General features: G+C 51.1%; 1 protein-coding gene across 5 annotated transcripts in view, besides 2 other annotated features; it reads right to left on the bottom strand.

Annotated features, from left to right (window-relative positions):
- The window catches only part of ZAN (zonadhesin), a 64,203-nt gene that overhangs the window by 1,162 nt on the left and 44,322 nt on the right, over positions 1–18,719 (bottom strand). Inside the window, exons 35-45 of one of the 5 annotated variants that reach the window (NR_111917.2) lie at positions 16,886–17,190; positions 11,802–12,013; positions 10,495–10,639; positions 8,500–8,747; positions 7,289–7,418; positions 5,523–5,694; positions 4,488–4,670; positions 4,092–4,231; positions 2,618–2,816; positions 2,378–2,516; positions 1,300–1,440 (exon numbers count right to left, since the gene is read on the bottom strand). Coding sequence is in view for 2 of the 5 variants with exons in the window: in NM_003386.3 (NP_003377.2) it covers positions 1,300–1,440; positions 2,378–2,516; positions 2,618–2,816; positions 4,157–4,231; positions 4,488–4,670; positions 5,523–5,694; positions 7,289–7,418; positions 8,500–8,747; positions 10,495–10,639; positions 11,802–12,013; positions 16,886–17,190 (1,949 nt within the window). In the remaining 3 variants the exon portion in view is untranslated. The remainder of the gene's footprint in view (positions 1–1,299; positions 1,441–2,377; positions 2,517–2,617; positions 2,817–4,091; positions 4,232–4,487; positions 4,671–5,522; positions 5,695–7,288; positions 7,419–8,499; positions 8,748–10,494; positions 10,640–11,801; positions 12,014–16,885; positions 17,191–18,719) is intronic. The other 4 variants (NM_003386.3, NR_111918.2, NR_111919.2 and 1 more) reach the window with 4 other exon arrangements.
- Positions 2,062–2,609: an enhancer, noted in NCBI's record as "NANOG-H3K4me1 hESC enhancer chr7:100391649-100392196 (GRCh37/hg19 assembly coordinates)". NCBI's record gives its function as "activates a minimal SCP1, AML or CMV promoter by ChIP-STARR-seq in naive H9 embryonic stem cells {active_cell/tissue: H9 hESC(naive)}" and the evidence as "EXISTENCE:reporter gene assay evidence [ECO:0000049][PMID:30033119]".
- Positions 11,412–11,911: an enhancer, noted in NCBI's record as "H3K4me1 hESC enhancer chr7:100382347-100382846 (GRCh37/hg19 assembly coordinates)". NCBI's record gives its function as "activates a minimal SCP1, AML or CMV promoter by ChIP-STARR-seq in primed H9 embryonic stem cells {active_cell/tissue: H9 hESC(primed)}" and the evidence as "EXISTENCE:reporter gene assay evidence [ECO:0000049][PMID:30033119]".

The raw sequence follows: 18,719 nt of genomic DNA, 5'->3' as shown, positions 1-18,719 counted from the left end.
CAGACCAACCTGGCCAACATGGCGAAACCCCATCCCTACTAAAAATACAAAAATAGCCGGGCGTGGTGGCCGGCGCCTGTAATCCCAGCTACTCAGGAGGCTGAGACAGGAGAATCACTTGAACCCGGGAGGTGGAGGTTGCAGTGAGCCGAGATCACGCCACTGCACTCCAGCCTGGGCAACAGACCAAGACTCAAAAAAAAAAAAAAAAAAAGCAGATTCCTGGGCCCACTCCAGACCTACCAAATCTGATCTTTCAGAGTGTGTCCTGGAATATACATGTACACAAGTTACCCCGTCTTCAATCTTAGGCAAGATAAAGCTGGAGAACCACTGGCCCAGAAGCCCATGGGAATTGTAGTTTGGGATAGGAAAGGACAATGGAAGGTGCTGGAGAGGCACAGAAGGACACAGGAGGAGGAAGCAGCAGGGGTGAGAGATACAGGTCACAGGAGTGGGGAGCTGGGCTTCAGAGAGAAGATTTCACAGTATATAGGTAGGAGATGGGCACAGGAACTAGTTTTTTGTTTTGTTTTTGGTTTTTGTTTTTTGTTTTTTTTGAGATGGAGTCTTGGTCGCCCAGGCTGGAGCGCAGTAGCGTGATCTTAGCTCACTGCAACCTCTGCCTCCCGGGTTCAAGCGGGTCTCGTGCCTCAGCCTCTGAGTAGCTGGGATTACAGCTGTGCACCACCATACCCAGCTAATTTTTTTTTATTTTTTTATTTTTTTTTAGATGGAGTCTTGCTCTGTCACCCAGGCTGGAGTGCAGTGGCTTGATCTTGGCTCACTGCAACCTCCACCTCCCAGGTTCAAGTGATTCTCCTGCCTCAGCCTCCCGAGTAGCTGGGACTACAGGCGCACACCACCACACCCGGCTAACTTTTTGTATTTTTAGTAGAGACGGGGTTTCACTTCGTTAGCCAGAATGGTCTCCATCTCCTGACCTCGTGATCCGCCCACCTCAGCCTCCCAAAGTGCTGGGATTACAGGCGTGAGCCACCATTCCCGGCCAGGACTGGTTTTTTGAGGATGCTTGTCCTGCGAATTTCTAGGGATTATATTATAATTCCTACTATAATAATATATGTAATATATAAATAGATAATTAATATACAAGATATATTAATATATTAATATCCATTATAGCTACAAATTGTTATGTTTATAATATATAATATCTGTAACATAATATTATAATACATATCATTCTATATGTGAATATAATACATATAGAATCATTCTGTGGTTGTCGGCCAGGAAGAGGTTGTGAGGGTACAGGGCCTTGGACGATGCCCTCACCTGGCTTTCTGGGAGGTGGCGCATCTCGAGGCTCCATACACAGGCCTCCCCCGTAACCAACTTCACACTCGCAGGTGAAGGTGGCTCCCTGCTCCCGACACTGCCCGTCATTCTGACAGGGGTTCTGCAGACACGGGCTTTCTGCAAGGACAGAGAGGGTTGTGGGAGGGGGGCCCTGGGAGGACACTCCCAGCTGAGGGAAGGCCTGGCTGGGGGCTGGGACGCCCGGGGAGAAAGCAGCGGCTGCCAGAGACTGGCCAGGGGTCAGCCAGCCTGGCTCCCAACCCTGCCTCACTAGCCCTGGGCTTTGGGGAAACTTCCTTCCTTTGAAACTCTTTCATCTCTTCCTTCCTCTCTTCCTTTCTTCCTCCTTTCCTCCCTCCTTCTCTCCTTCCCTCCTTCTCCCCTCCTCTCCCTTCCTCTCCTCTCCCCTCTCCTCCCTCCCTTCCTTTCCTCCCCTCCCCTGCCCTCCCCTCCTCCCTTCTCTTCTCTTCTTTTTTGAGACAAGATCTCACTCTGTCACCCAGGCTGGAGTGCAGTGGCACAATTATAGCTCACTGTAGCCTCAATTTCTTGGGCTTAAGTGATCTTCCCACCTCAGCTTCCAAGTAGCTGAGACTACAGGAGTGCACCACCACACTCAGCTCTTTTTTTCTTTAATTTTTAGTAGAGACGATGTCTCCCTATATTGCCCAGGCTGATCTTGAACTCCTGAGCTCAAAGCAATTCGCCCACCTCACCTCCAAAAATGCTGGGATTACAGGCATGAGTCACCCACGCCCAGCAGGAAACTGCTTAACCTCTCTGAACTCCATGTTTGTTATGTATAAATTAGGAGTGCTGTGCTAACCATCAGGGCTGAAGGAGATCATGGGAAGGAACGCTAGGGAAGGATTCGGTAGGTCATGGATGCTTAGGGATCGGGAGATCTTTGTCCTTTGTCCCTCCCTACAAAGGCAGGGACAGACATCCTGAAATCAATGTGGAAGAGTCCTGAGGACAAGGAGGGGACGATCCTTGGTCCATGGACGCCCCAGGGCATGGGGCAGCTTGGAACCGGGCAGGAGTGCAGGTTCACCTGGAAAGCAGCCTTGGGTGTGGTTCCCCAGGGTGCAGACCTCCCCCGCTCTGCAGCTGAAGGGCTCACACAGCAGGATCCGTGAGCTGGCACAGGTGCACCGCTGAGAGCAGTCCTCAGTCAGAAAGCTGCTGCCCAGCTAGAAAGGGGAAGGGCCAGGAGGAGACGTTCCAGTTCCATCCCTGGTCTGGCTCTCCTTGGCGCCTCTGCTCCCCAGGGCCTCCTGCTGCCAGCTCAGACCTGGTAGTAGATGCCATTGCTGGTGCAGCCACAGTCAGCCAGGGGAGGCTCTGGGTGCCACTGTAGGCATAGCCTGGGATGCTGGCGCAGCCTTCCACGCAGGGGCCCTCGCAGTCCCCGGGGTCTGCCAGGTTGGCACAGGATGCTGGGCAGGGTGTCATACAGCTCTGATATATGGTACCTGCTGGACACTCCATGGCTGCGGGGACAGTCATGGTCAGAAACTGGCTGGGGCTGGGCAGGCCAAACAGGGGCAAGGTCACCCGATAAAACTCAGAGTAGGCTGGGCACAGTGGCTCACACCTGAAATCCCAGCACTTTGGGAGGATGAGGCAGGTGGATCACCTGAAGTCAGGAGTTCAAGACCAGCCTGGCCAACATGGTGAAACCCCATCTCTGCTAAAAATACAAAAATGAGCCGGGCGTGGTGGCGGGCACCTGTAATACCAGCTACTCGGGAGGCTGAGACAAGAATCGCTTGAACCCAGGAGGCGGAGGTTGCAGTGAGCCGAGATCATGCCACTGCACTCCAGTCTGGGCAACAAAAAGCGAACTCTGTCTCAGACAACAACAACAAAAACAAAAACACTCAGCGTTGCATATAGGCAGGAAGCTAGAACGTGTTGCAGCTTCATCTAGGGTCTTTTTTTTATTTTTTATTTTTTTAAATTTTTTTTAGAGATGGAGTCACTCTGTTGCCCAGGCTGGAGTGCCCAGGCTGGCGTGATCACGGCTCACTGCAGCCTCCAACTCCTGGGTTCCAATGATCCTCCCACCTCAGCCTCCCTGGTGACTGGAGTTACAGGCATGCACCACCACACCCGGCCAATTTGTTAAGATTTTTATAGAGATGGGGTCTCACTGGTTCCCCAGGCCGGTCTCAAACTCTTGGATTCAATTGATCCTCCTGCCTCTGCCTCCCAAAGTGGTGGAACTACAGGTATGAGCTACCATGTCCAGCCTGTCTAGTCTTTTCTTTTTTTAATTTCTTTCTTTTTTTCGTTCTTTCTTTCTTTCTTTCTTTTTTTTTTTTTTTGAGATAGGATGTTGCTCTGTTGCCCAGGCTGGAGTGTGGTGGTGTGCGGTCATGGTTCACTGCAGCCTGGCTGGAACTCCTGGGCTCAAGCCATCCTCCAGCCTCAACCTCCCAAAGCACTGGGATTACAGGTGTGAACCACCACGCCCAGCCCATCCAGGGTCTGCAACATTAGAACATTTGAAGGAACTGGTTGAGCGAAGGTGGACCTTGGCAGGAAGGAGCGGGATGCGGGATGGGGTTGGGAGGCTCCCAGGCAGGGGCAGAGAAGGAGCCAGGCTGCCGGTTGTGCTGACTTGGACCTGGGACTAAGGCAGAAATTCGAGGGATGATGGGACTAAGACAGAAAGCCCGAGATGAGGCAATGGTGGGAAGAGCGTTCAGCAGAGGTGGACGGCAGAGGGGTCAGGGTCGGCACAGGGAGGGGCAACACCTCACCGCAGAGGGTGCGGTCCCGCCAGCCAGCCAGGGCAGCGCCCGCCTCCTGGCAGAGGATGGCGTACCCACTGAGGACCTGGCAACGCAGCTCCTCTTGCTCTCTTGGGTCCTGAGCAGAGCACAGATCCAGCACGCAGTGCCTGGTGCAGAGAGGGGGCAGGAAGGGCACAGTCAGTTTGGGGAGGGGAGGAGACCCACCCCTGCAGAAGAGAGCCTGGAACCCCAAACAGAAAGACATCAGTCGGTGTCCAGTGAGGGTCACAAGGAAATTAGGCCACAGGGAGAACGGAGGAGTGAACCACACAGAGCTTGGGTCAGGAAGCGGGCAGGAGGCCCCAGGGAAAGACCAGAGCAGGCACCTGGGCCATTCCCACAAGTCCTGGGCCCATGACTCACTCTTGGAAGGGCTCTGGGGCCACCGTCTGGTGACAGGCAGCAAAGGGGCCCTGGGGGTCTGCCAGCACCCTACAGGCCTGGGTGCTGTTGCTCGCCAGCTGCTCCGGGCTACATTCGGACACTTGGAGGCCCGTGCGGAGGCCCAGCTCCGCCCCTTGTCCCTCCTCCTCCGCTGGTATAGCCCTGCAGTAGAGACAGCCACGGGGTCAGGTGAGGCCCCAAGGAAGGTGAAGTGGGGGAAGAAGAAGAACTGATTAGCCGGGCATGGTGGTGGCTGCCTGGAGTCCCAGCTACCCGGGAGGCTGAGGCAGGAGGATGACTTGAGCCCAGGAGGTGGAAACTGCAGTGAGCCAAGATCACGCCACTGCACTCCAGCCTGGGTAACAGAGCACGACCCGGTCTCTAAAAAATATATTTTAAAAAAAGAAATAAGAACTACTGGGGCTGGGTGTGGTGGCTCACACCTGTAATCCCAGCACTTTGGGAGGCCTAGGTGGGCAGATCCCTTGAGGTCAGGAGTTCGAGACCAGTATGGCCAACATGGTGAAACCCTGTCTCTACTAAAAATACGAACATTAGCTGAGCGTGGTGGCCCATGCCTGTAGTCCCAGCTACTTGGGAGGCTGAGGCACGAGAATCACTTGAAACTGGGAGGCAGAGGTTGCAGTGAGCTGAGATCATGCCACTGCACTCCAGCCTGGGTGACAGAGGAAGAAGAAGTAGGAGGAGGAGAAGAAGAAGGAGGAGGAGGAGGAGAAGGAGGAGGAAGAGGAGGAGGAGGAAAGAAGGAAGAAGGAAGAAGGAAAAATAACTGGGAAGGCAGGCTGAGGGCAGGGCAGGGGCACAGAGAGAGATTTCCATTGAGCGGGAGCCCCCAGAGTCAGATGAGAGGGAATGACGGAATTGGGAGGATCCAGGCCTATCTGCACCCTCTCCCTGGAGTTTCATCCTCTCCTGAGGACAGGAGGGCTAGCGGCCACCGTGCACAGACATTGTTGTTCACCTCCCCCGCCTCATCCCTTCCAGGCCGTGCACCTGGGGAAGCGCAGGAGTGCGTCCTCGGTCTTCACCTCCCAGCTGTTGCCAAAGGTGTTGAGGTTCTGGGTCAGGGCGCCACTGGGCAGCATCATGTCATTCTTGCGGTTCTTGTCGTAGTTTCCGCACAGGCCACTCACAAGCCCCTCGTACATGCTGGGTAGGGAGATCACTGCGGGAGGAAGGGGGTCCCCAGAAGTGAGACTCCTCACTCTTTTTTTTTTTTTTTTTTTTAGACAGTCTTGCTCTGTTGCCCAGGCTGGAGTGCAGTTGTGTGATCTTGGCTCACTGCAACCTCCGCCTCCTGGTTTCAAGCAATTCCCATGGCTCAGCCTCCCGAGTAGCTGGAACTACAGGCACACACCACCATGCCTGGCTAATTTTTGTATTTTTAGTAGAGACAGTGTTTCACCATGTTGGCCAAACTGGTCTAGAATTCCTGACCTCAAGTGATCTGCCTACCTCGGCCTCTCAGAGTGCTGGGATTACAGGCATGAGCCACCGCGCCTAGCCCTCACTCTTTTTTTTAATTAACTTTTTTTTTTTTTTTTTGAGATGGAGTCTCGCTCCGTTGCCCAGGCTGGAGTGCAGCGGTGTGATCTCCGCTCACTGCAAGCTCCGCCTCCCAGGTTCACTCCATTCTCCTGCCTCAGCCTCACGAGTAGCTGGGACTATAGGTGCCCGCCAACACACCTGGCTAATTTTTAGTATTTTCAGTAGAGACAGGGTCTCACCGTGTTAGCCAGGATGGTCTCGATCTCCTGACCTCGTGATCTGCCTGCCTCGGCCTCCCAAAGTGCTGGGATTACAGGTGTGAGCCACCGTGCCCAGCCTTAATTAACTTTTTTTTAAAGCAGGGTCTTGCTCTGTTGCCCAGTCTGGAGTACAGTGGCTCAATCATGGCTCACTGCAGCCTCCAACTTCTGGGCTCAAGCGATCCTCTCTCCTCGGCCTTTCCAGTAGCTGGGATTACAGGTGTGCACCACCACATCCAGCTAATTTTTTATTTTTATTTTTTATAGAGATGGGATCTTGCTATGTTGCCCAGGCTGGTCTCGAATGCCTGGCCTCAAGCGATCCTCCCGTCTCAGCCTCTCCAGTTCCAGAAGCTGGGATTACAGGCATGCACCATCACACCTGTCTCATTTAAAAAAAAAAAATTTTTTTTGAGATGGAGTTTTGCTCTTGTCACCCAGGCTGGAGTGCAGTGGCACGATCTCAGCTCACTGCAACCTCCGCCTCCCACGTTCAAGCGATTCTCCTGCCTCAGCATCCCAAGTAGCTGGGATTACAGGCGCCCACCACCACACCCAGCTAATTTTTGTATTTTTAGTAGAGATGGGGTTTCGCCATGTTTGCCAGGCTGGTCTTGAACTCCTGACCTTAGGTGATCCACCTGCCTCAGCCTCCCAAAGTGCTGGGATTACAGGCGTGAGCCACTGTGCACGGCCTTTAAAATTTTTTTTGTAGAGACGGGGGTCTCACTATGTTCCCCAGGCTGGTCTTGAGCTTCTGACCTCAAGCGATCCTCCCACCTCAGCTTCCCGGAGCGCTGGGATTTCTGGCCAGTGCCACAGCACCCAGCCAAGACTCTGCCCTCTGCTCTCCACCTGGTCTCACCTCACCTCCTCCTGGTCCTCCTCTGAAGCTGGGTGCCCCACTACCGGGCCGAGTCTGCTCACCAGGATTTGCCTGTCTTAAATAGGATTTTCCCTCCCACTTCCCAGAAATGGCCCTTTTGCTCTTCTTTCCCCTCTCTCCATTACCTGCATTTTTCCTTCCACCAAAGCTGACGACCAGCTCAAAGTCGGTGACCAGGTAGAGCCGTTGGCCCCACAGGGTGACCCGCAGGTGTTCATTTGGCCTGTAGGGGACGGCCATCTTCTGGTTGTTGACCTAAAGAGGGAAGACAGGAGCCACAGACAGGGCTGAATCCTCCTGACCTGCTGCCATTTCCTGGCTGGGCTTCACTTTTCCCAGTCATCTCCATATGTCTCCGTGCAGAGAGTGGAATAAGATACCCCAATGGGCTTTGCTATTCACGTGGCAGAAACCTCTGTGAGGTCCGCCCCCTTCCCAGCCCAAGTCCTTCCTTGCAAAAAATTGGCTCAGTGAGGCCGGGCACAGTGGCTCACACCTGTAATTCTAGCACTTTGGGAGGCCGAGTCGGGCGGATCACTTGAGGTCAGGAGTTCCAGACCAGCCTGGCCAACATGGGGAAACCACGTCTCTACTAAAAATACAAAAATTAGCCAGACATGGTGGTGCACACCTGTAGTCCCAGCTACTAGGGAGGTTGAGGCAGGATAATCACTTGAACCTGGGAGGTGGAGGTTGCAGTGAGCCTAGATGGTGCCACTGCACTCCAGCCTGGGCGACAGAGTGAAACTCTGCCTCAAAAAATAAAAATACATTGGTGTAGTGGATGCCATTGGTTCTTCAGCCCAGGATTGACCTTCACACACCTCACGCTCTGTCCTCCTCCTCTCTTCCTCTTGTTTCTTGCCAGCCTCTGCTGCCTCCCCACATGAAGTGAGCTTGTTGCTGAATTTGTTTTTGATTTTGAGACAGTTTCTCTCTGTCACCCAGGCTAAAGTGCAGTGGCAAGATCTTGGCTCACTGCAGCCTCAAACTCCTGGGCTCAAGTGATCCTCCAGCCTAAGCCTGCCCAATAGCTGGAACTACAGGTGTGCGCCCCCATATCCAGCTCATTTTAAATTTTTTGCAGAGATGTTGCGTCTTGCTATGTTGCCCAGGCTGGTCTTGAACTCCTGGGCTCAAGTGATCCTCCCGTCTTAGCCTCCTGAGTAGCTGAGATTACAGGCGTGAACCACTGCGTCCTGCTGACTCTGATTTTACAACCAGCCCACCCCTGCCACAAACATCCCAGGGAACAGGGATCCCTGACTTCTACTCCAGGTGGCCTACCTGGTCCAGCTGCCTCCCCACACCCACCAGGCCCTGGCCCAGCTCTTACCACAAGCTCCAGACCAGCTTGGAGCTGCACTTTATAGCCGTAGACGGTGGTAATCACTTCCTGCAAGAAGATGGAGCTCCTGGGCGGATCCATCTTGTTGCGTCCTTCCACGAGGAGGGGCTCCACCCCCTCAGGCAGTACGTCCACAGTCTTGATCAGAACATAGGTCATGCGGCCTTGCAAGCGGTAGCTGAAGCCGTCAAATGTGAGGTAACGGGGGTCGCCATAGACTGAGCATTGTTCAGACTCTGCCAAGAAGTCAGACAGTGAGAAGGGGCCGGGCGCAGTGGCTCACGCCTGTAATCCCAGGACTTTGGGAGGCCAAGGCGGGTGGATGACCTGAGGTCAGGAGTTTGAGACCAGCCTGGCCAACATGGTGAAACCCTGTCTCTACTAAAAATACAAAAATTAGCCAGGTGTGGTGGTGCGTGCCTGTAATCCCAGCTACTTGGTAGGCTGAGGCAAGAGAATTGCTTGAACCCGGGAGGCAGAGGTTGTAGTGAGCGCCGAGATCGCGCCACTGCACTCCAGCCTGGGAGACAGAGTAAGACACCATCTCAAAAAAACAAAAAACAAAACAAAAGACTGAGAAGGGACCCTGCCCAGGTGTGACAGTCCCCAGAGTCCCTCCCCCACGGTGGCATCCCCTGTGGCCACCCTCTTAGGCTCAGGCTCCCTGGATCCTTTCTTTTCTTTTTTTAATTTTCTTTTTCTTTTTTTGAGACAGGGTCTTATTCTGTCACCCAGACTGGAGTACAAGTGGTACGATCATAGCTCACTGCAGCCTCCACCTCCTGGTCTCGAGTGATCCTCCTGAGTAGCTGGGACTTTAGGTGCGCACCACCACCCCTAGCTAATTTTTTTCTTTTTTTTTTAGAAATGGCCACACTACATTGCCCAGGCTGGTCTTGAACTCCTGGCCTCAAGAAATCCTCCCACCTTGGCCTCCCAAAGTCCAAAGTGCTGAGATTACAGGCATAAGCCACCAAGCCCGGTACCTAGACTTTTTTTTTTCAATACCTACTGACATTCAATTAGAGGCCCTTTATTATTATTTTTATTTTTTTATTTTTTTGAGACAAGATCTCACTCTGTGTCCCAGGCTGGAGTGCAGTGGTACAATCATAGCTCACTGCAGCCTCAAACTCCTGAGCTCAAGCAATTCTCCTGCGTCAGTCTCCTGAGTAGCTGGGACTACAGGCACAAGCCACTACACCTAACTAATTTTTTAAAATTTTAAAATTTTTTGTAGGGACAGGGTCTTCCTATGTTGGCCAGGTTGGTGTTAAATTCCTGGGCTGAAGTGATTCTTCCACCTCTGCCTCCCAAGTACTGGGATTACAGGCATGAACCACCATGCCCAGCCTCCCTGGATCCTTGATCTTCAATTTTCTCTATCTCCTGGCCTGATTAAAAACCTTAGAGGGGGCGGGCACAGTGGCTCATGCCTGTAATCCCAACACTTTAGGAGGCTGAGGCAGGAGGAACACATGAGCCCATGAGTTCAAGCCCATCTTGGGCAACATAGCAAGACCCCATCTCTAGAAAAAAAATAGCAAAATTGGCTGGGTGTGGTGGTCCATGCCTGTAGTCCCAGCTACTTGGGAGGCTGAGATGTGAGGATCACATGATTGCAGGCATTTGAGGTTGCAGCTAGCTATATGATGGTGCCAGTGCACTCCAGCCTGGGCAACAGAGCAAGACCCTATCTCAAAAAACAAACAAACAAGAAAAGAAAAACTTTGGAGGATCTCCTTGACCAGTCCCCTCTTTTTGCCCTGCAGGTGGAGGGTCCCAGAGGGGATCAGGACCTGGCACATGGCCACAGAGTTAGCAAGAGCTAAACTGGAGGCCAGGCCTCCTGATCCAGTCGCCCGCCCCAACCCCTGACTGTGCTGGGGTTCAGGCTAAGCCCCTTCCCACCCTGCCTCTTCCTCCACCTCCGCCCTGGCCACAGGTGCTCCCCTCTCCAACCTCCCCGGTCGCTCCCCTTACTGTCTGAGACACAATTGCTGTTGCTGTTGTCGGAAGTGAGCTGGCAGTGGGACCCAGAGGGGCATCGGAAGTCCCCGCACTGAATGGCTCCTCCCGTGCAGACACACTTCTCCGTGCAACCGCTGGAGACCCAGCTCTTGCCCAGCTGTAGAAGTTACAGGAAGAGAAAGAGAGTGAGGAGGGGGCTGGGCGCGGCGGCTCACGCCTGTAATCCCAACACTTTGGGAGGCCGAGACGGGTGGATCACCTGAGGTCAGGAGTTTGTGACGAGCCCAGCCAACATGGTGAAACCCTGTCTCTACTAAAAATACAAAAATTAGCCAGGTGTGGTAGCACACACTTGTAATCCCAGCTACTCAAGAGGCTGAGGCAGGAGAATTGCTTGAACCCAGGAGGCAGAGGTTGCAGTGAGCCAAGATCGCACCACTGCATTCCAGCCTGGGCAACAGAGCGAGACTCTGTCTCAAGAAAAAAAAAAAAAAGAGTGAAGAGGGGAGGGCCAGTTCTCCTTCCTCTTGCCCCAGCAGCCTGGCCCACCATCTAAATGGCTTAATTGATGCTGGCCAGAGGCAGCCACAGTGTCATTTGGTCATCCAAAAGACAACTGTGCAGGCCAAGTGTGGTGGCTCACACCTGTAATCTTAGTACTTTGGGAGGCCAAGGCGGGCAGATCACTTGAGGTCAGGAGTTCGAGACCAGCCTGGCCAACATGGTGAAACCCAATCTCTACTAAAAATTCAAAAATTAGCAGGCTGTGGTGGCGCTTGCCTGTAATCCCAGCTACACAGGAGACTGAGGCAGGAGAATGGCTTGAACCCAGGAGGCAGAGATTGCAGTGCGCAGAGATTATGCCACTGCACTCTAGCCTGCTGGATAATAGAGGGAGACTCCGTCTCAAAAAAAAAAAAAAAAAAAAAAGGCACTGTGTTTGTGCTTGGTGACTTACATATGTTGTGCAGGAGGTACTACTGAACCCATTTTACAGATGAGGAAACGGATATAACAGAGGTCATCTGACTCATCAGTGGCACCATCAGGATTCAATCCTAGGTTAGGCTGAAATGAGCCCATGGTCTTTCCACTATACCATGCCATGTGCTGCTTGTTTGGATTCCTCAGATCCAAAACCCAAACCATGTGCCATCAGCCCAGACCTGGCTGGAGATCAATGTGCCACTCACACCAGCCTTCACACCCCCGGGCCAGCTGTAAGTCATGGGTATCCCAGGCTGAGAGAGGCAGAGAAAAGGAGAAAGCACTGCCCTCAAGCTGTGTTGCCTCCAGTCCCATTTCCCATGCCCACTCACAGGGATGGAGCCACCATGGGCATCCTTGCAGCCACACTGACTTCTGGGGACACACTTGTCTTCACTCAGCACATAGCCGGGCTGACAAATGCAGCCCTCAGCGCAGGCAGAGGGGACTTTGGCGCCCTCACACCGGCCATCCAGGTCCCAGCAGGAGGGTGAGCAGGAGGGAAGGCAGTTGGTGTAGCTGCTGTAGGCAGGGCATTCCAGAGCTGTGGGTGAAGGAGACAGTGGGTCAGTGGAGAGGGTCACAGGGGGCCAAGGTGGGCAGGGGCTGTACAAACCAAGCTATGGGTGGATGACCAACAAGGCTTGGGGAGCTTTTTTTGTTCTTTTGTTATTCATTCAGCAAACATTTACTGAGTATGGGTTATGTGCCAGGCTTTGGGGGAAAGCAAGGAAAAAGCGGCTGGGCATGGTGGCTCACGCCTGTAATCCCAGCACTTTGGGAGGCTGAGGTGGGTGGATCACAAGGTCAGGAGATCGAGACCATCCTGGCCATCATGGTGAAACCCCATCTCTACTAAAAATACAACAATTAGCCAAGCGTGGTGGTGGGCGCCTGTAGTCCCAGCTACTCAGGAGGCTGAGGCAGGAGAATCACTTGAACCTGGGAGGCAGAGGTTGCATTGAGCCAAGATCACACCACTGCACTCCAGCCTGGGCAACAGAGTGAGACTGTCTCAAAAAAAAAAAAAAAAAAAGGAACAAGAATGGCTCTCCCAAGCCAGCATGAAGGACGGTGGTCAAACAGCAACGGCAGCAGGACCTTGATGTGTATGATCAGTAGGTGTGTTGACAGCAAGAGCATACAAGGCATGATGGAGGCACAGAGCAGGGAGGTATTAATTCTGTTGGGGGAGTTAAAGAAAGGCCCTTAAGCAAAAATAGTGTGAACAAATGGAAATGCATACCATGTTCATGGATAAGAAGGTTCAGCAACATGGTGATGTTAGTTCTGCCTCAGTGAATGTACACATTTAATGTGATCTCAATAAAATATACATATATATATATGTATATATATATGTGTGTATATATATATATGTGTATATATATATATATATATATTTTTTTTTTTTTTTTTTTTTTTTTTTTTTTGCGGGGGACGGGCAGGGACGGAGTCTCTCTCTGACACCCAGGAATGATCTTGGCTCACTGCAGCCTCTGCCTCCCTGGTTCCAGAGATTCTCCTACTTCAGCCTCCCAGGTAGCTGGGATTACAGGCATGTGCCACCATGCCTGGCTAATTTTTGTATTTTTAGTAGAGATGGGGTTTCACCATGTTGGCCAGGCTGGTCTCAAACTCCTGACCTCAGGTGATCCTCCCACCTTGGCCTCCCAAAGTGCTAGGATTACAGGCATGAGCCACCACACCCAGCCACCAAAAGTATTTTATATATGTGTGTGCTTTTAATAGGACAAGATGATTTCAAAGTTGAGCTGAAGACATAAGCAAACCAGAAAAGCCAGGAACTCCCTAAAAAAAAGAGCCATCAGTAGTGAATGGCCCTCCATAAGTCGTTTATTTTGTTTTATTTTATTTATTCATTTATTTATTTTTTTGAGATAGAGTTTCGCTCTTTCCGCCCTGGCTGGAGTGCAATGGCACAATCTCAGCTCACTGCAACCTCCACCTCCCAGGTTCAAGCAATTCTCCTTTCTCAGCCTCCTGAGTAGCTGGGATTACAGGCACATACTAGCACGCCCAGCTATTTTTTGTATTTTTAGTAGAGATGGGGTTTTGCCATGTTGGCCAGGCTGGTCTCAAACTCCTGACCTCAGGTGATCCGCCCACCTCGGCCTCCCAAAGTGCTGGGATTACAGGCGTAAGCCACAGCGCCCAGCCCAAAGCTCATTTTAAATTTTCAGTGATTACGACTTTGTGTTACTGCTACATGCAAATACAGATGGACCGACAGAACAGAGGAGAAAGCTCAGATATGGATCCAAATATATATGGGAATTTAGTATATGATAAATTGTGGTATCTCAGTCCCTGCGCAAAGACAGACTAGTCATTTAATAATATTGGAACAGCTGGCTAGCCTTCTGGAGAAAAACAAAAACAAAGTTGATTCATACCTCATTTTACACATCAGGATAAATCTTCATGGGTCAAAAACTTAAATACACACACACACACACACACAAAAAAAACCCACTTAAATATAAAAAAATGAAACCATAAAAGTTCTAGAGCAGGCCGGACACGGTGGCTCACGCCTGTAACCCCAGCACTTGGGGAGGACGAGGCGGGCAGATCACTTGAGGCCAGGAGTTTGAGACCAGCCTGGCCAACATGGTGAAACCCCATCTCTACTAAAAATACAAAAAAATTATCCAGGCATGGTGGTGGGTGCCTGTAATCCCAGCTACTCGGAAGGCTGAGGCAGGAGAATCGCTTGAACCCAGGAGGCAGAGGTTGCAGTGATCCGGGATCGTGCCACTGCAGCCTGGGCCACAGAGTGAGACTCTGTCTCAAACAAACAAAATTTCTAGAGCAAAGAATCAGCAAACTCTTTTGTAGCTTCTGTGGGGCTAGCATTTATAGCTATTGCTCAAGATGCAGAAGACATAAAACAAGATTAATATATTTGACCCCATAAAAATTTTTGTCCTGCATGGCAAAAAAAAAAAAAGTCAAAAGATGAAAACAAAAAGGACTGGAAAACTTTGTGTAACTCAGAGCACTAATAAAGGTCTACTTTCCATAACAGATAAAGGACTTCCATGAAATAGTTCAGTAAAGACCAACGACTCAATGGAAAAATGGTGACTGGATAAGAGCAGATAGTTTACAGAAAGGGAAATTCAAAGGGTTCCTAAGTACATGAAAAAATGTCCAATCTCACTCATAATAAAAACTCAAATTAAGTCTTGTTATTTTTCATGACCAGGTGCAGTGGCTCATGCCTGTAATCCTAGCACTTTGGGAGGCTTGAGGCAGGTGGATCACCTGAGGTGAGGAGTTCAAGACCAGCCTGGCCAATATGGTGAAACCCCGTCTCTACTAAAAATACAAAAATTAGCTGGGTGTGGTGGCACATGCCAGTAATCCCAGCTACTCGGAGGCTGAGGCAGGAGATTCACTGGAACCTGGGAGGCAGAGGTCACAGTGAGCCGAGATCATAGACTCCAGCCTGAGCTACAAAGTGAGACTCAAAAAAAAAAAAAAAAAAGTATAGCAATGTCAAATAAAAACTCAGGCTTATAGCTTCTTTCAAAAAAAAAAATCAGAGGATCTGGTCACACTGGACCCACAGTGATGCCCAGCAGCTGTGGGGCAGCTGAGCAGCGGCCCCCTTCTGCACGGGACCTGTGTGCTGCTTTCACCCTGACCCTTCAGCCAGCTCAGGCTGCTGTGCTCATGTTGCCTCCACTGGCCCTGAGAAGCTCTGCAGCACCCCCTGCACCTCTGCTTTGCTCCTGGAACGCGAGAGTGTTTTAAAGAAAAATAAACTTTCTTGGCCGGTTGAGATGTCTCACGTCTGTAATCCCAGCACTTTGGGAGGCCAAGGCAGGCAGATCACAAGGTCAAGAGATCGAGACCAACCTGGCCAACATGGTGAAACCCTGTCTCTACTAAAAATACAAAAATTACCTGGGTGTGGTGGTGCGTGCCTGCAGTCCCAGCTACTTGGGAGGCTGAGGCAGGAGAATCTCTTGAACCCAGAAGGTGGAAGTTGCAGTGAGCCAAGGTCACACCACTGCACTCCAGCCTGGTGACAGAGCGAGATTCTGTCTCAAAAAATATATATAAAATAAAAAAATAAATAAAATAAACCTTCTTATGAAACACTGGCAAAAAAATAATAAGACGTTGTTTTTCAATTCTCAGATTGGCAAAACTCCAAAAGCACAGAGCATATAGTTTTCTTGTCTTTTGTTTTTTTAATTTTTTTGTAGCGATGCGGGGGTCTCATTATATTGCCCAGGTTGGTCTCAAACTCCTGGCCTCAAGCAATCCTCCCTTCTTGGACTCCCAAAGTGCTTGGATTACGGGTGTCAGTCACTGCACCCAGCCACGAATATAAATTTGAATTTGTTTATATATGCATAAATAAGTGGTCTTGGGAAAAATACTGAGACATGAACCAGGCCCATGGGGTGAGGGTGGGAGGGAGACGGTACACTGGTATCTTTTTTTGTTTTTTGGGGAGAATTTTTTTTTTTCTGAGAGTCTCACTCTGTCACCCAGACTTGAGTGCAGGGATGCAATCACAGTTCACTGCCGGGCTCAAGTGATCCTCCCACCTCACCCCCACAAGTAGCTGGGACCACAGGCATGCACCACCATACCCAGCTAGTTTGGTAATTTTTTGTAGAGATTGGGTCTCACTATGTTGCCCAGGCTGGTCTCGAACTCCTGGTTTCAAGCAATCCACCCACCTCAGCCTCCCAAATTGCTGAGATTATAGGCATGAGCCATCACACCCAACCTACTGGGTATCTTTTAATACTTTAAAAGTATTTTAAATTTTTTAATACTTTATACGTTTTTGAATCCTGCAAATGTGTTACCTATTAAAAAAAACTCTATTGAATTCCTGTTTTAAATTGTAAAAGTTTCTGGCGTTATATAGTAGTGATGGTTGCACAACTTTATCAAGATACTAAAAGACACTTTTTTTTTTTTTTGAGATGGAGTGTTGCTCTTTTTGCCCAGGCTGGAGTGCAACGGCGCGATCTCGGCTCACTACAACCTCCGCCTCCCAGGTTCAAGCAATTCTCCTGCCTCAGCCTCCCGAGTAGCTGGGATTACAGGCATGTGCCACCACACCCGGCTAATTTTGTATTTTTAGTAGGATGGGGTTTCACCATGTTGGCCAGGCTGGTCTCGAACTCCTGACCTCAGGTGATCCACCCACCTTGGCCTCCCCAAGTGCTGGGATTATAGGCGTGAGCCACCACACCCAGCAAAAAAAATTTTATATAAAAATTAAAAAATAGTCCTTGTCAAAGAAACAATGAGGGCTGAGTTAGTCAGGAACGAACAGGAAGGAGAGTGAGGGAGCTCTCAGGGAAGCAGAGAGGGAAAGGGGGTTTGGGAGGGGTTTGGGGTGACAGCAGGGCACACTCACGGCAGAAGCTGCTGTTTCTCCAGAGTGGGGGCTTGAGCCCCTGGCTCTGGCAGGTGGCCCCGAAGGCTTGCAGAGCCTGGCAGAGGGCCTGGTAGAGACCTCCGAACTCACAGAGGGTGTTTGCACAGTCCACCAGGAAGGGCGTGAGGTCTATGCGGGAGGCGCACTGGGCCCACACAGGAGCCCGGAGCGCTGCCTCGCACTTTTCCCGCGCCCTGCGGAGGTCGGCCGCCCTGCAGTTTCCACTCGGGTTCTCCTGCTGTTCCGCTGGAATCTGCTGCTCATCTACCAGGAGACTCTGACAACTGGGAAGGGAAAAGAATCAGCCTAGGGACAGCCGTCCCCCTACTATGACACAAAATTTTTTTTTCTTTAGGGGGAGTCTTGCTCTGTCACCCAGGCTGGAGTGCAATGCAACAGTCTCAGCTCACTGCAACCTCTGCCTTCCCTCCCATGTTCAAGCGATTCTCCTGTCTCACTCAGCCTTCCGAGTTGCTGAGACTACAGGCACCCACCACCACGCCCGACCAATTTTTTTTTTTTTTTTGGAGACAGAGTCTCACTCTGTCACCCAGGCTGGAGTGCAGTAGTGCAATCTTGGCTCACTGAGACCTCCGCCTCCCGGGTTCAAGCGATTCTCCTGCCTCAGCCTCCCGAGTAGCCGGGATTACAGCCACCCGGCACCATGCCTAGCTAATTTTTGGTTTTGGTTTATCTGGAGACAAGGTCCCACTGTATCGCCCAGGCTGGAGTTCAGTGGTGTGATCTTGGCTCACTGCAACCTCTACGTCTCAGGTTAAAGCGATTCTCCTGCCTTAGCCTTTTGAGTAGCTGGGATTACAGGCACCCGCCACCATGACCGGCTAGTTTTTGTATTTTTAATAGAGACGAGGTTTCACCATGTTGGCAAGGCTGGTCTTGAACTCCTGGCCTCAAGTGATCCACCCGCCTCGGCCTCGCGAAGTGCTGAGATATCAGGCCTGAGCCACCACGCCTGGCCCTATGACAATGATCTGGTGCTCCCAAATGACCCAGAGAGACCTCTCAGGGATTCCCCACCCTCCTAACCCTTCTGGTGTTCACAGGGAAGCTGGTCTGAGCTCTGGCCAATCTTCCATCGGCCTCGTCTTCTCTCAGATTTCCTTTTTTGCTTCCCAATCTGTCGCCCAGTCTGGAGTACAGTGGTGTGATCAAGGCTCACTGCAACTTCAATCTCCCAGGCCCAAGGGATCGTCCCACCTCAGCCTTGTGAGTAGCTGGGACTAACCACACCTGGTTATTTTTCTTTCTTTTCTTTTTTTTTTTTTTCTGTAGAGATGAGGTCTTGCTATGTTGCCCAGGCTGGTCTCAAACTCCTAGGCTCAAGCAATCCTCCCACATTGGCCTCACGAAGTGTTGGGATTAGAGGCGTGAGCCACTGCACCCGGCTGTTTTTAAACTTTTTAAGACAGCATCTTGCTCTGTCATCCAGGCTGGAGTGCAGTGATGCAATCATAGCTCACTGTAGCCTTCAAATCTCGGACTCAACCAATCTTCCTGCTGAAGCCTCCCAAATAGCTGGGACTACAGGCATGTGCCACCATGGCTGGCTAATTTTTGTTTTTAATTTTTTTGTAAAGATGGGGTCTTGCTATGCTGCCTAGGCTGGTCTCAAACTCCTGGCCTCAAGTGATCCTCCAGTCTTGGCCTCCCAAAGTGCTGGAATCACAGGCATGAGCCTCTGCTCCTGCTCCTCCTCCAAGGTTTCTAAGCGAGGAAAGGAAGCTTTCACATTTCCTCAAGTGGGTTCTAGCAGCCTTGAGATGGATCAATTACACACATCGCCCCAGAATGC

This window comes from Homo sapiens, chromosome 7 (genome assembly GCF_000001405.40).
Source record: "Homo sapiens chromosome 7, GRCh38.p14 Primary Assembly".
NCBI classification, from domain to species: Eukaryota; Metazoa; Chordata; class Mammalia; order Primates; family Hominidae; genus Homo; species Homo sapiens.
Note: the sequence above shows the minus strand (reverse complement) of the source record. Positions and strands in the feature narration are given on the sequence as shown.